This window comes from Homo sapiens, chromosome 9, assembly GCF_000001405.40.
Source record: "Homo sapiens chromosome 9, GRCh38.p14 Primary Assembly".
Classification (NCBI taxonomy): Eukaryota; Metazoa; Chordata; class Mammalia; order Primates; family Hominidae; genus Homo; species Homo sapiens.
In genome coordinates, this window is record NC_000009.12 from 25,073,850 (window position 1) to 25,089,912 (window position 16,063).

General features: G+C 35.0%; 1 pseudogene, besides 2 other annotated features; it reads right to left on the reverse strand.

The window, feature by feature from the left end:
* Positions 2,125 to 2,681: an enhancer, noted in NCBI's record as "NANOG-H3K27ac-H3K4me1 hESC enhancer chr9:25075972-25076528 (GRCh37/hg19 assembly coordinates)". NCBI's record gives its function as "activates a minimal SCP1, AML or CMV promoter by ChIP-STARR-seq in primed H9 embryonic stem cells {active_cell/tissue: H9 hESC(primed)}" and the evidence as "EXISTENCE:reporter gene assay evidence [ECO:0000049][PMID:30033119]".
* Positions 2,682 to 3,238: an enhancer, noted in NCBI's record as "NANOG-H3K27ac-H3K4me1 hESC enhancer chr9:25076529-25077085 (GRCh37/hg19 assembly coordinates)". NCBI's record gives its function as "activates a minimal SCP1, AML or CMV promoter by ChIP-STARR-seq in naive and primed H9 embryonic stem cells {active_cell/tissue: H9 hESC(naive and primed)}" and the evidence as "EXISTENCE:reporter gene assay evidence [ECO:0000049][PMID:30033119]".
* On the reverse strand, positions 15,065 to 15,302 carry RN7SKP120 (RN7SK pseudogene 120; annotated as a pseudogene).

Below are 16,063 nucleotides of genomic sequence, written 5' to 3' on the forward strand. Positions count from 1 at the left end.
CTAGCGGTCTATCAATTTTGTTGATCCTTTCAAAAAACCAGCTCCTGGATTCATTAATTTTTTGAAGGGTTTTTTGTGTCTCTATTTCCTTCAGTTCTGCTCTGATTTTAGTTATTTCTTGCCTTCTGCTAGCTTTTGAATGTGTTTGCTCTTGCTTTTCTAGTTCTTATAATTGTGATGTTAGGGTGTCAATTTTGGATCTTTCCTGCTTTCTCTTGTGGGCATTTAGTGCTATAAATTTCCCTCTACACACTGCTTTGAATGTGTCCCAGAGATTCTTGTATGTTGTGTCTTTGTTCTTGTTGGTTTCAAAGAACATCTCTATTTCTGCCTTCATTTCGTTATGTACCCAGTAGTCATTCAGGAGCAGGTTGTTCAGTTTCCACGTAGTTGAGTGGTTTTGAGTGAGATTCTTAATCCTAAGTTCTAGTTTGATTGCACTGTGGTCTGAGAGATAGTTTGTTATAATTTCTGTTCTTTTACGTTTGCTGAGGAGAGCTTTACTTCCAAGTATGTGGTCAATTTTGGAATAGGTGTGGTGTGGTGCTGAAAAAAATGCATATTCTGTTGATTTGGGGTGGAGAGTTCTGTAGATGTCTATTAGGTCCGCTTGGTGCAGAGCTGAGTTCAATTCCTGGGTATCCTTGTTGACTTTCTGTCTGGTTGATCTGTCTAATGTTGACAGTGGGGTGTTAAAGTCTCCCATTATTAATGTGTGGGAGTCTAAGTCTCTTTGTAGGTCACTCAGGACTTGCTTTATGAATCTGGGTGCTCCTGTATTGGGTGCATATATATTTAGGATAGTTAGCTCTTCTTGTTGAATTGATCCCTTTACCATTATGTAATGGCCTTCTTTGTCTCTTTTGATCTTTGTTGGTTTAAAGTCTGTTTTATCAGAGACTGGGATTGCAACCCCTGCCTTTTTTTGTTTTCCATTTGCTTGGTAGATCTTCCTCCATCCCTTTATTTTGAGCCTATGTGTGTCTCTGCACATGAGATGGGTTTCCTGAATACAGCACACTGATGGGTCTTAACTCTTTATCCAATTGGCCAGTCTGTGTCTTTTAATTGGAGCATTTAGTCCATTTACATTTAAAGTTAATATTGTTATGTGTGAATTTGATCCTGTCATTATGTTAGCTGGTTATTTTGCTCGTTAGTTGATGTTGATGCAGTTTCTTCCTAGTCTCGATGGTCTTTACATTTTGGCATGGTTTTGCAGCGGCTGGTAACGGTTGTTCCTTACCATGTTTAGCGCTTCCTTCAGGAGCTCTTTTAGGGCAGGCCTGGTGGTGACAAAATCTGTCAGCATTTGCTTGTCTGTAAAGGATTTTATTTCTCCTTCACTTATGAAGCTTAGTTTGGCTGGATATGAAATTCTGGGTTGAAAATTCTTTTCTTTAAGAACGTTGAATATTGGCCCCCACTCTCTTCTGGCTTGTAGAGTTTCTCCCGAGAGATCCACTGTTAGTCTGATGGGCTTCCCTTTGAGGGTAACCCGACCTTTGTCTCTGGCTGCCCTTAACATTTTTTCCTTCATTTCAACTTTGGTGAATCTGACAATTATGTGTCTTGGAGTTGCTCTTCTCGAGGAGTATCTTTGTGGCATTCTCTGTATTTTCTGAATCTGAATGTTGGCCTGCCTTGCTAGATTGGGGAAGTTCTCCTGGATAATATCCTGCAGAGTGTTTTCCACCTTGGTTCCATTCTCCCCGTCACTTTCAGGTACACCAATCAGACGTAGATTTGGTCTTTTCACATAGTCCCATATTTCTTGGAGGCTTTGCTCATTTCTTTTTATTCTTTTTTCTCTAAACTTCCCTTCTCGCTTCATTTCATTCATTTCATCTTCCATCACTGATACCCTTTCTTCCAGTTGATCACATCGGCTCCTGAGGCTTCTGCATTCTTCACGTAGTTCTCGAGCCTTGGTTTTCAGCTCCATCAGCTCCTTTAAGCACTTCTCTGTATTGGTTATTCTAGTTATACATTCTTCTAAATTCTTTTCAAAGTTTTCAACTTCTTTGCCTTTGGTTTGAATGTCCTCCCATATCTTGGAGTAATTTGATTGTCTGAAGCCTCCTTCTCTCAGTTCGTCAAAGTCATTCTCCATCCAGCTTTGTTCCGTTGCTGGTGAGGAACTGTGTTCCTTTGGAGGAGGAGAGGTGCTCTGCTTTTTAGAGTTTCCAGTTTTTCTGCTCTGTTTTTTCCCCATCTTTGTGGTTTTATCTACTTTTGGTCTTTGATGATGGTGATGTACAGATGGGATTTTGTGTGGATGTCCTTTCTGTTTGTTAGTTTTCCTTCTAACAGACAGGACCCTCAGCTGCAGGTCTGTTGGAGTACCCGGCCATGTGAAGTGTCAGTCTGCCCCTGCTGGGGGGTGCCTCCCAGTTAGGCTGCTTAGGGGTCAGGGGTCAGGGACCCACTTGAGGAGGCAATCTGCCCATTCTCAGATCTCTGGCTGCATGCTGGGAGAACCACTGCTCTCTTCAAAGCTGTCAGACAGGGACATTTAAGTCTGCAGAGGTTACTGCTGTCTTTTTGTTTGTCTGTGCCCTGCCCCCAGAGGTGGAGCCTACAGAGGTAGGCAGGCCTCCTTGAGCTGTGTTGGGCTCCACCCAGTTCTAGCTTCCCGGCTGCTTTGTTTACCTAAGCAAGCCTGGGAAATGGCGGGCACCCCTCCCCCAGCCTCGCTGCTGCCTTGCAGTTTGATCTCAGACTGCTGTGCTAGCAATCAGCGAGACTCCGTGGGCGTAGGACCCTCCGAGCCAGGTGCGGGATATAATCTCCTGGTGCGCCGTTTTTTAAGCCCGTCAGAAAAGTGCAGTATTCGGGTGGGAGTGACCCGATTTTCCAGGTGCCGTCTGTCACCCCTTTCTTTGACTAGGAAAGGGAACTCCCTGACCCCTTGTGCTTCCCGAGTGAGGCAATGCCTCGCCGTGCTTTGGCTCTTGCACGGTGCACACACCCACTGACCTGCGCCCACTGTCTGGCACTCCCTAGTAAGATGAACCCAGTACCTCAGATGGAAATGCAGAAATCACCCCTCTTCTGTGTCGCTCATGCTAGGAGCTGTAGACTGGAGCTGTTCCTATTTGGCCATCTTGGCTCCTCCCTGAAGTTCAGTTTTAAAGAAAAGGAAGGAGTTTGGACAGTAATTTGGAGATCAATTTTGTATAAACCAAATGATTTCATCATAGTTTTCAGACGTCAGAACAGTTTTGTTTTTTTGTGTGTGTTTTATAGACTACGTAAACGAGAAAAGTATTTTGAGGAAGGGGTAAATTGGCTTGATTTGATCCTTAATGTTTATTTTAAAAACTGCTTAATATTAATCTACTAGATTGACTATTCATTTATTAAAGTAGTTACTGATGTTGAGAAGATTTTTGAATGATAATCAGAACGGGATAAAAACACATTTTAATGTTTGTATATGACACTTCAGAGATCATATGCTGTTTCTCTAGACATCAGTATCTCAGCTTTGTTACTTTCCAATGCTGTGATATTACACAAGTTTCTTTTTTGTCACTTCTGCCTCTATTAATGATGACGTTGAGTAAAAAGCTCATTTTCATCAGGCATTTACTTGGGCCAGACCCTAGAGCCTAAAGAGCTCCTATGACTTCTCATTTAAACGTTCCAGCAAGCTGATGTGCTAAGTATGACTACAATGGGAGTCCATTTGTAGATAAAGAAATGGTGACTTGCCCAAGTTTATATAACTAATTAGCAGAGGAATGGGGATTTGAATTTCAGGAGTTCACTCTTATTCATTATGTCACACATTTTCTCTAGTAAGAAAAGTAACTTGATAAGTATTGACCTCATAGGATTTTGCTGTTGCTTCAGTGTGATAACGTATGTAAAATATGTAGATTAATGTCAGACAATTTTTAATTTTAAATACATATTTGTATTAATTGGTGTTATAGCTTTTATTATATAATTTTATTTGAATTCATGGATACTCAAGAGTTAATTTTAATTTTTCCTAAACCAATGTGGTTGTAATTTGAAAATCATACTTTTAACAAAGGCCATAATTTCTTTCTGCCTATATTATACATGCACATATACAGATGTATTGCATCCATATATTTTGTTCCCCATATTTTCTATGTTTTTAATGATAATTCAGTTTTTCCATCTGTACACTGTCATATTAAACTTAAATTGAGACAGTTCTTCTGTGTACTGCTTCCTTCATTCTATCTTCATTTGACCTGAAAATCTATTATCAAAAGCTGTACAAATTGAATCATTAGACTGACTTTAACAGCATATTTTAGTTCAATTGCAATATCTCCATTGCCTCTGAAAGCAGTTGAATTGAAAAGAAATCCTGCCTTCATACTTTATGAACATGTAGGTTTCCTGTCAAAGAAATGTGTTATCAACTTACTTCAAAGAGTGAAACCAAACTACCAGAACACATTCATTTCTATCTGCAATCCTCACTTCAGTAGTTTGGCTAAAGTTCTGATTTCCAAAACCCTTCATCAGAATGACCTCCAGTAGAGGTTACTCCATTTCCTCTAGGCAGCGACTGTTCAGTGACACAACCAGAGAAATAACTTTCGATAGCTGTCATCATACATGCAGCAACGATGGGCATTTCCTTTGATATTCTGAAAGTAAAAAACTGTACTGTTTATACACCTGTTTATTCACTTTGGGCTAATATCTGATGAGTTAATAAATTAACTAGTTTTTTAAATTGTTTTTATCTCAGCTTTATCTTTTACTATCTGTTTGACTTTGGATAGAATCCTTAACTCTATGCCTTAATTATCCCTTCAGCAAAATATAACAGGAATAACAAAATAATGCCTTCATCAAGTTCTTATGAGGATTATCTAAGTAAACTTTAACTATTTTTGTTGTTGTTGTTTGTTTGTTAAGAGACAGTGTCTCCCTTTGTTGTTGGGGCTGGAGTGCACTGGCAAGATCATAGCTCACTGAAGCCTTAAACTCCTAGGCTCAAGCAATCCTCCTGCCTCACCCTCCCAAGTAGCTGAAATTACAGGCATAAAACACAACACCCAGATATATATATATAATATATATTATATATTTATAAAATATATATATATTTATATATAATATATATATATATATATATATATATATATATATATTTGATAAAGACAAGGTCTTGCTGTATTGCCCAGGCTGCTTTTTAACTCCTGGGCTCCCAGTCCTCCCACCTCAGCCTCCCAAAGCACTGGGATTACAGGTGTGAGTGACTGCCCTCTGCCAAACTTTAACTCTTTCACCTTTGACATATACGATGTCTGCCTTCATCTCCCCTTACACCCACCAGTTTCTCTCCATTTCTCCCAGTTTCTTTATTGTTTGAGATGACATGTCTTCATATGACTTACAAGGTCTCTGTCTGGAAATGAGGTTCATTGAGATGCACCCTTCTTTTCCTTACTGGAGGTCTTTGGGCTCCAATTATTCTAAAATCCAATTCCCTGGATGCCTTCCTAGTTTATTGAAAAACACTGACTATTAGGGTTGCTGCAGTCTCCTGCAAAATGTGTAAAGAATTCAAAAATGATCAATCTAAAACTGGAAACTTCTCTACAGTATTATTTAAATTGTCAAGGACAGTCAATCTAATATAAACATTGAGTGCAAGATGGCTTAAAAATAAAAATTATTGCTATGGATAAAAATAACATAAATTTGACCACTTATCTTAAATGAAAATTGACAGTGATTTCTCCCTCTGTTAACAGATTTTAACCTAAAGGCTCAATTTGAGGGCTCTAAAACATGAAGTCCTTAGGCCAAGAACTCATGTCTTCTCAGTTTGCCATGATTTGGTTTTTCAAAAACTTTTTCTGCTGAAGTCAACCTTCAAATGATAGTTATGCAAAAGTACTCCCTTAAATACTACCCACTTGCACATTTGTGGTAGCTTTATTGATTTATTGCTGTAATTGTAACAGGATTTTATTTTTTCTCTTTTTGATGTTCTGCGTTATTATTATTCTCTATGACCCTGAACAGGGCCAAAGGCTAAGGCATCTATGTCTAGAATCCAGGGTGCATTGTCAAGTCCTTGTCCCTATAGGCTGGGATCAAACTTGCTATTTCTTTTTTTTTTTTTTTCAGAGATTGTACCTTTGTTCTTAAAAGCAGTTCATGGTGTTCTTCCTTACTCCTTAAGAAATACATAGAACTCTCATTTTATTGATAGAGATGAGATGGCTTAGAGAGCTTACATTTCATTGAATTTCTATAAAGATTCCTCTACCTTTTCTACCTTGCCTTAGTTTTAACTTTTTTATGCTACATTAATGCTGTATTTGCCCATCCTCACCCTTGCCATCAATCTCTTCCCACCTAATTTATCCTCCAAAGCACTGTCTGTCTTAGGGTGATTCCATCATGTCGTCACTTGTATTTTAATGACTTCCCATGACATTTTGATAAAATACAAACTCTTTGGACATGTACATAGGCTTATTAGATATATACTTATGGGCTGCATAACAATGTTTTGGTCTGTGATGGCCACATATATGATGGTGGTCCTATAAGATTATAATAATGGAGCTGAAAAATTTATATTGCATAATGATGACCTAGATGTCACAATGTCATAGTGCAATGCATTACTCATGTGTTTGCGATGATGCTGGTGTAAACAAACTTATTCTTCTACCAGTCATATGAAAGTATAGCACATACAATTATGTACAATACAGAATACTTGAAATGATATTAAACTATGTTACTGCTTAATGTATTTACTACACTATACTTTTTATTATTATTGCAGAGTGTACTTCTACTTATATAAAAAGAAGTTTTTTGTGTAAAACACCTCATGTTTACATTTAAGTTAATGTAAAACAGCTTAATGTTACATATAAGTTAAATGTAAAACAGTTTCAGCCACATCCTGGAGAAAGTATTCCTTCCATTATTATAGGAGGTTACAGCTCCATGCATGTTATTGCCACTGAAGACCTTCCAGTGGAATAAGATGTGGAGGTGAAAGTGATATTGATTATGCTGATCCTGTGTAGGTCTAGGCTAATGTTTGTGTTTGTGTCTTAGTTTTTAATAAAAAAGTTTAAAAAGTAAAAAAAAAAATAAAAATTCAAAAACTTCTAAAACTTTAAAAATGTTTATAAAACAAAAAGTTTATAAAGTTAAAAGAAGTTACGGTAAGCTAAAGTTAATTTCTTATCTAAGAAGAGCTTTTTAAATAGATTAAGTGCAGCCTAATTGCACACAGTGTTTGTAAATTATACTAGCAATGTACAGTAATGTCCTATGCCTTTACATTCCCTCATCACTCAGTCATTGACTCACCCAGAAAAGCATCTAATCCTGCAAGATCCTTTAATTTTTAAGGGACCTATACAGGTGTACCTTTAAAAAATTATACCATATCTTACTGTACTTTTCTATGTTTAAATACACAAATACTTACCATTGTGTTACAGTTGTCTACAATATTCAGTGGGGCAGCGTGTTGTGCAAGTTTGTTGCCTAGGAGCAATAAGCTATACCATATAGCCTAGATGTATACTAGGCTGTAACATCTAGGTTTCTGTATGTACACTGTATGATGATCACACAACAAGAAAATTGCCCAAGGATACATTTCTCAGAATGTAGCCCCGTTGTTAAACATACACGACTGTAATCCCAACTACTAAACATCGTCTTGCACCATACCTCCCCTGGGCTTGCTACACCACAACTATACTTGTTTTTTGTTTGTTTGTTTGTTTGTTTCTCTGTTTTTCTATCCATTTTGCAACACTGTCTTTAAAAAAATATTAGACTACAGTTTTAAAGCAGTTTAGATTTACAGCTAAATTAAGCAGAAAGTATAGAAAGTTGCCATAAACTCTCACTCCTCTACTCCTATTTTCTCCTTTTATTAACACAAATATGTACATTTGATAGATCAACATTGATGTTATTGATATTACTCAATTATTATTATCTAAAGTCCAAATTTACATCAGAGTTCACTCTTCATAGTGTACTTTCTATGGGTTTTGACATATATATATATTGACAAGAATTCAACCTTACAGTGCCATACAGAATAGTTCCACTGCCTTAAAAATTCCCTATGCTGTACCAACTCATCCCTTCCTCTCCTCACGCAAACGCTTGTCAACCAGTGATCTTTGTTACAGTCACTATAGTTGTGACTTTTCCAGAATGTCAAATAGTTGGAATTATAAAGAATGTAGCATTTTCAGAGAGGCTTTTTTTCACATAGCAATATGCATTTAAGGTTTCTCTGTGTCTTCATACATTGATGATATCACATTTCTTTTTAGTCAATATATGAGATTCCATGTTATGAATATATCACAGTGTGTTTACCATTAACTTATTGAAGCACATCTTGGTTACACGCAACTCTTGGCAATAATGAATAAATCTGCTCTCAACATCCAGGTGCAGGTATTGTTGTATACAAAACTTTCAACTAAAGTGGGTAAATACCAAGGAAAATGATTGCAGAATGCTATGATAAGTATATGTTTAACTTTCTAAGAAATTGTCAAACTGTCTTTCAAAGTGGCTCTACTGCTTTGCATTTGCATCAGAAATGAATGAGAGTTTTTATTGCTCCATATTCTTGCCAGCATGTGGTGTTGTCAGTGTTTTATATTTTAGCCATCCAGTAGGTGTGTAGTAGTATCTTGTTTTAATTAATGAAAGATATTAATTGCACTCCCCTGGTAACATATGGTGTTGAATATTTTAAATTTTTTATTTTCCATGTGCTAAACTGCCATTTGGCAACATGTCTGTTCAGTTCTTTTGCTTATTTTTAACTTGGGTTGTTTTCTTATTGTTGAGTTTAAAGAGCTCTTTGTATGTTGAGTAACTGTTCTTTATCAGATGTATCTTCTGGAAATATTTTCTACCAGTCTGTGACTTGTCTTATTATCCTGATTATATCTTTCACAGAGCAGAATTATTTAATATAATGAAGTCAGTTTATCAATAATTTTATGGATTATGCTTCTGGTGTTGCATGTAAAATGCCATTGCTATACTCTAGGTCATCTAGGTTTTCTCCTATATTAGCTTTTAATGGTTTAATAGTTTTATGTTTTCCATTTAGGACTGTAACTTATTTTGAGTTAACTTGAGGAAGGATGTAATGTCTGTGTCTAGATTCATTTTTTACATGTGGATGTGCAGTTGTTACAATGCCATTTGTCAAAAAGGCCACTTTGCCTCATTCATTGTCTTTGCTCCTTTGTCAAAGATTAGTTGGCTATATTTATGTCATTTCTGGGACTATTTCTGGGCTCTCTCTCTATCCTATTCCATTGATCTATTTGTTCTTTTGGCAATGCCACACTGTTTTAATTGCAATTTTACAGTAAGTCTTAAACTTAGGTGATGTCAGTCTTCAAACTTTATTCTTTTCCTTCAGTATTGTGTTGGTTATTCTTGGTCTTTTACCTTTTCATATGCATTTTAGTATTAGTTTGTTGATATCCACAAAATAACTTGCTGGGATTTTTGTTACAATTGAATCTATAGATCAAGATGAAAGAAAACTGAATTGATATCTTGACAATATTGAGTTTTCTATCCATGAAAATGTATCTCTCATCAGAGATTTCTTATATGACCTTGTACATATTTTGTTCAATTTATACTAAGTATTTCATTTGTTGTACTAATGTAAATAGTTTTAGATTTCTAATTTCAAATTCCAATTGTTTGTTGCTTTTATATTTGAAAAAATCAAGGGAATTTTGTATATTAACTCTGTACCCTGCAACCTTGGCAGAATTACTTAAGACTTCTAAGAGGTATTTTTGGTCATTTATTCTTTGGGGTTTTTTACATAGAAAAATCACATAATTTGTGAACAAAGACAATTTTATTTCTTTGTATCCCATCTGTACACCTGTTTATTTCCTTTTCTCATCTTGTTGACTAAAAAAAGAATTCCACTACAATGTTAAATGGGAGTAATGAGAGAGAATATCCTTGACTTGTTCCTAATCTTACTAGATGGAAAGCATCTCATTTCTCACCATTAGGCGTGGTTTTAGCAGTAGGATTTTCATATTTGTCTCTTATTAGATTGAAAAATTTCCCATCTCTATTTAGTTTTCTGATAGTTTTTATTATAAATTAGTGATGGATTGTGTTAATTTTCTTCTGCATCTATTGGTATAATCATATTATTTTTCTTGAAGAGAAAAGGTGACCACATGTAATTCAAAACTCCCATTCGCTCCAACATTTACCTCTTTAGTGTCTAAAGGTTAAACATATACTTCACTGTATCCAAGATGTTCTTCCTAGCCACAGAAATGAACTCTGTAATGCCAATGGTATTGCTGTTTCATTTGTTCTTGTACAGACAATGGCAACTACATCATAATAAACAAAGAGCAGAAAACAGCAATTATAGATGTCACCAATTCGAAGGTGCGCTACAATTCCAGAAATAATAAGATGTGATAAAATTTTCATATTATAATCAATGACCTACGATATTAGTGCTTAAAAATCTTCATTTCAATACACAAATGCAAAGTTTTAAAAGTCAATATTGATTAAGAATACATTCTATTAGTTTCCTAAGATCATCACCTCTGGAAACAGGTTGTAAAGTAATTAAAGCACAAACATCACATCAAAACTGCCTTTGTTGAAATGCGATTCTCTCTAAGGAAAATTGATAAATATGGGGTAAAATATAACACTATGAGACAAATCTTAACACAGAAATATTCTTAGGATTTAATAAATCAAGAAATACAACACTTTAATTTTTCACTGAATACCATAAAATATGTTCAAATGCGAACAAGTATTATAAGTCGACTGAAATAGCTGATTTGTAAGAGTGATGAAGTGGTAGGTTTGTTTTCACTAATTTTTATTTAATTTTTATATTGTGATATAGTTACACTAAATAAAATGTAAAAATATAGGAAACATTAAAAAGTAGAAGGAATAATAGATTTGCCTTTAGTTTTTTTCTATTATTATTGTAATTATTATTATACTTTAAGTTCTGGGACACATGTGCAGCCTTTAGTTTTTTTCTAAAAGCTCTAGGACAGCACATAGAGAACTATTGAACTCTCTCTTTGGGAGAGGGTAAGAGGATCTCTTCCAGGAAGATTTTTAGGAAAGCTTTTTATAAAGGATTGGTGGGGTAGATCCTGATTATTAGTTCATTTGAATTCATCCTGAGGGATACATATACAATAAATAAAATTTTAGGGAAGTAAAGGTTTGATACCAACATTGAATCCATTGATAAGCTAATTATTTTGGAAATGGCATGGAGAGATAAAGAAAAAGGTCTACCCACAGGAGTTTGTGAAAATGTTGGTGAGTAGACTAATGCAGAGTGCACATAGATTTGGTGCATGGAATGTCAAATCCTGAAAAACACAAAGAGGATAACACCAAACCCTTGACAAGTGCTTTCCTTTTAGATACAGCAGCCATTCATAGGGACCATCCAAAGCCTGCTATTTATTATTTAAATGAGAAACTATCCGAATGTGATGCATAATGCAAAGTCATGTTTCACAAGTAGAGAGTAAATACATTTCAATACCTTGTGTAACAGAGGATTATGTATGATTCCTATGAAGAAGAAAATGTTTAAGTTCAAGATGATGCTATCCTAAAAGGTGTGTCCTTGCTTTAGTATGTTTGGCCTATTGCCAAATCTGCTTTCTAATCCTTCTGATCTGCTCCAAAACTATCATGATCTCCAGAACATTTATAAACGATGAAACCTTATCTCTTGCAATAGTTTCTGGTAGGAATATGATAGAATCAATGATTTAAATATAATTTGCTTACTGATTAGTTTATTAAATATTTAATAGAAACCTATTACATAATAGTTTCTGCAGTAGATTTGTGGGTGGAATGATGAGCAAACACCATTAAAACTCTGACAAATGTGATCATGTACAATTTATACGTGATGCCTAAAATGCTATAAATGAGAAGAGAGCATGGTGCACAGGAAATGGCATGTGCAAAATGCACTGTTAGGAAATAGGCAGAAATGGCATGATTGGGGGACAGCAGTTATTTATAGACAGGGAATAGACAGTTTTATAGACAGCTATTTATAGACTTACATATACAAGTCTTTTCCCTGTATTTTCATTATGTTTTCTTGATTCCTTAACTTTTCCAGTTTGCCTACTGAACATTCCTTTTTTCAAAAAGGTCTCATCTATTCTAACTTTTTATTATGAGCAAAATTTAAAATCATTTACTAGTATTATAAAAATAAATTCACTGTCATTGTAAATAGTGATGCTTTTATTTATAGATATATTTGGAAACACATTAAATTTTAAAAGTTAATATTTCAACAAATGTTGTTCCTTCCTGTTACCTATGTAGAGCAGTTTTCTTGGTATTTATTCTTTGTTGGTTTCTGCTCTAGTAGTGTCAGTGAGAGTAAGTATCATCTTGAACATTTATGACTTTACAGCAGAGTTTCCAAATTGCGTTCTCTGGAATATTATTTCTGTAGTATTTCATAGATTTTTACAAACAATCCTCTCTTTTAATTGTTAATTCCACTAGAGTGGAATTCGGGTTCACTAGGGAGAAGTTATGTCTCCAAATTTATATTAGGAAAAGGAAGATTCTGCTGTTGGATCAAATCTTCTAATTCTATTATCTTGTGCTGCCCTGATGGATTAATTTATTTCACCTACCCCTCTAATCTCCTTAGACAGAAATAGCAAATATGTATGCTGTTACTTCTCCTTTGCACCAGCAATCAATCATTGTAGTAATTCTACTCAACATGCTGCCTTAGCCTGGACACTGGCATACTATTGAGGTTGGCAAATGGAAGAAAACCTGTATGTTATCTGTATCTACACTTGGTTCTCTGTTTTCCTGTTTACATGTGAAAACGTGTATACACAAAAATATGTGTGTGTTTCAATATTACATATTTGACCTTGAAAAATTATTGTTTTCTTAACTGCCCTCACAACCTTGCCTCCCTCCTTGTATCACTCCTTTTCTAATAAAACACAAAGAACAAATTTTGATAGGCCTAATATCTATTAAAATATTCTGATATCATTTTATATAGCTGTTATTTTGGATACAGAGGCATTTCTCATCTCTTCATTTTTAATTTTTAAAAATTTACAAGCAATAAAATTTATGCTTTGTTGTATACAGTTTTCTTCATGTTGAAAAATACATACAGTCATACATTTACTATGAAAATCAAGATTCAGAACAGTTCCATCATCACCCTCATCAAATTCCTTTCTGTTGTCTGCTCATGGTCAACTCCTCTCACCTCTCTAAATCCTGAGAACTATTTATTTAGCCCCATTCCTAGGGTTTGCATTTTATAGAATATTATAAAAATGAATTATAAATGTATAGCGTTTGGCTCTGACTTTTTTCATTCAGAAGAATGCATTAGCAATTTATCTGTGTTGATATATATATGAGATATACATGATCATATATAAATGATCATATATGAGATATATATGATCATATATATATATATGATATGCTGTGTGGTTTTAAATAGCCTTTCCTAATATCTAATCATGTTGATAACTTTTGTGTTTGTCATCTGGGTGATATATATCTATATATGTTTATTTCTTACCTTTTGAGTGTTAAGTAGTATTCCATTATATGCATGTTTCACAGTTTATCTATTCACTAGCTGAAGGATATTTGGATTGTTTCCAATTTTTGGCAATTATGAGTAATACTATAAACAGTGGCATAAAGGTTTTTATTTCTCTTGGACAAAGAAGTAGGGTCGTTTGGTAATATGATAAGTGAAGAATTAACTTTATGAGAAACTGCTATACTATTTTCCAAAGAGGCTATAGCTTTTTTCATTCCCACTGTAATATGTGTGTGTTACAATTGCTCCACATGCTCAACAGCACTTGATATTGTCATTTTAATTTTTATGAATAAAATATTTCAGTTAATAGCAATAGTAAAAATTTAAATTTGAAATGAGTAAAATATATATTATCTGGGGGTGGCAGGTAATGGATGAATAATTATCAAATTAGGAAGAGTTTCCTTCCTGCCAACTGCAGCTAATTTGCATGACCTTGATTTGTATCTCGATGCATCACTTGATGACGATGACATACTTTGGTCAAATAATATTCTGTGTGGTTTTAAATAGCGTTTCATTGTATCTAATCATGTTGATGACTTTTTGTCATCCATTACTTTCTTTAGTTAATTGTCTGTTGAAGTCTTTTCCCCCAAATTCTTAATTAGGTTGCTTGTTTTCTTATTCTTGATCATTTACTTTTTTAAGCATAATCTTAATTTCTCTGGATTTACTATACTTAAGGTGGTTCTGTATGGTTATTTATGCCTCATTTGGGCTATTGGTGACCAAATAGATGACTTAGCCAAGACTGAAGATTGTAATGAAACCACCACCATTCATTTCATTCATTTATTATTGATTATCTAAGAATCCTTTATTTATTGATTGATTTTTTTTTTTTTTTTGAGATGGAGTCTTGCTCTGTCGCCCAGGCTGGAGTGCAGTGGCACCATCTTGGCACACTGCAACCTCCGCCTCCTGGGTTCAAGTGATTCTCCTGCTTTAGCCTCCTGAGTAGCTGGGACTACAGACACGTGCCCAGCTACTTTTTGTATTTTAAGTAGAGACGGGGTTTCACCATGTTGGCCAGGATGGTCTCGATCTCTTGACCTTGTGATCTACCCACCTCGGCCTCCCAAAGTGCTGGGATTACAGGTGTGAGCCACCGCGCCTGGCCTATCTAAGAAATCTTAAAAGGCTACATCTAAAAGAAATAGTAAATCCAATCACACCTTACTTAATAAAGAAGCAAACTCAGCTAACTAGAACTTCAGAAATTTGCTTCAACTAGCTAATTTTAAAGGTGCTTGAGAAGGCAACACAAGTACACACACACACACATTTTATGTACATATATTATACATACACACATGTGCACATTTAAATCCATAATCCCCTCAGACCAGCAGTTAGGGGTTATTTACTCTTGAGAGCTTGTTTGGAGGTTCTAGCAGGGGAGTACAGCTATTGATATACCCTTGACGAAATACTGGTCCTTCTCTATGGGGGATGGTCGTCCCCTTACCCAGAACACAACTTCCGGAGGGACACACCTGGAATGGTGAAGGAGGAAGCCGACAGCTGCCTAGCCAGCCAGATAAGCCAAATCAACCCTGGCGATCAATGGGGTGACAGATGTCACAGCCGGATCGCCCTCACATCCTCTTTAATTGACAAATACGTCTAACAATTTGTGTTTTTAACTCTTAATTTACAATCAAGAAATTTGAATTGAGTTAGAGACTGCTAAAGACAGATTCAATGCTTGTTACAAGAAAAAATTACTGATAATTCTTTAGAGGAAAATAAGGTAGAAGATACAAGAATTCTGTTTTTTTTTTTTAAAGCAAGCAGTGAGTCCATTTAGAAATCAATATGTGATATATTCAGTAGTAATATACTGTGGACCAATAATGCATTTTGCAAATTATCAAAGTTAAACATTGAAAGTACCATTAGGTTTAATATTCTGTTTAATAGTGTGTATAAATTATCTTGGAGACATTTACACATAATCAAGACATTGTTTTATAGTTAATATGTGGTGGTGAGAAGAAACTAAGTCATAGTTAACATTTCTGGAAAAATTCCTTATACGCTACAGCTACTTTTCTGACAATGTCAGATAAACCTGTGACTATATTGTAACATAGGAGAAAGCCTTTCTGCTGCATTGGAATAATTTTCCTGCTACAATAAGAGAATGATGCTTAAGAAAATTGAGAAACTAACTTTGAAGTAAAGAAATGTGTTAAAACAAACAACAACACAGCAAAAATATCTTATTATGGAATAAAATAGCACAGGTTTATGTGTAAGCAGAGATTTAAAGAAATATATTTTGGAAATGTCCAAGATATCTCACACATCTTCACTTTTGCAAATCATTTGCATTTATTTATTTGTATGTCTTGGAATTATGAT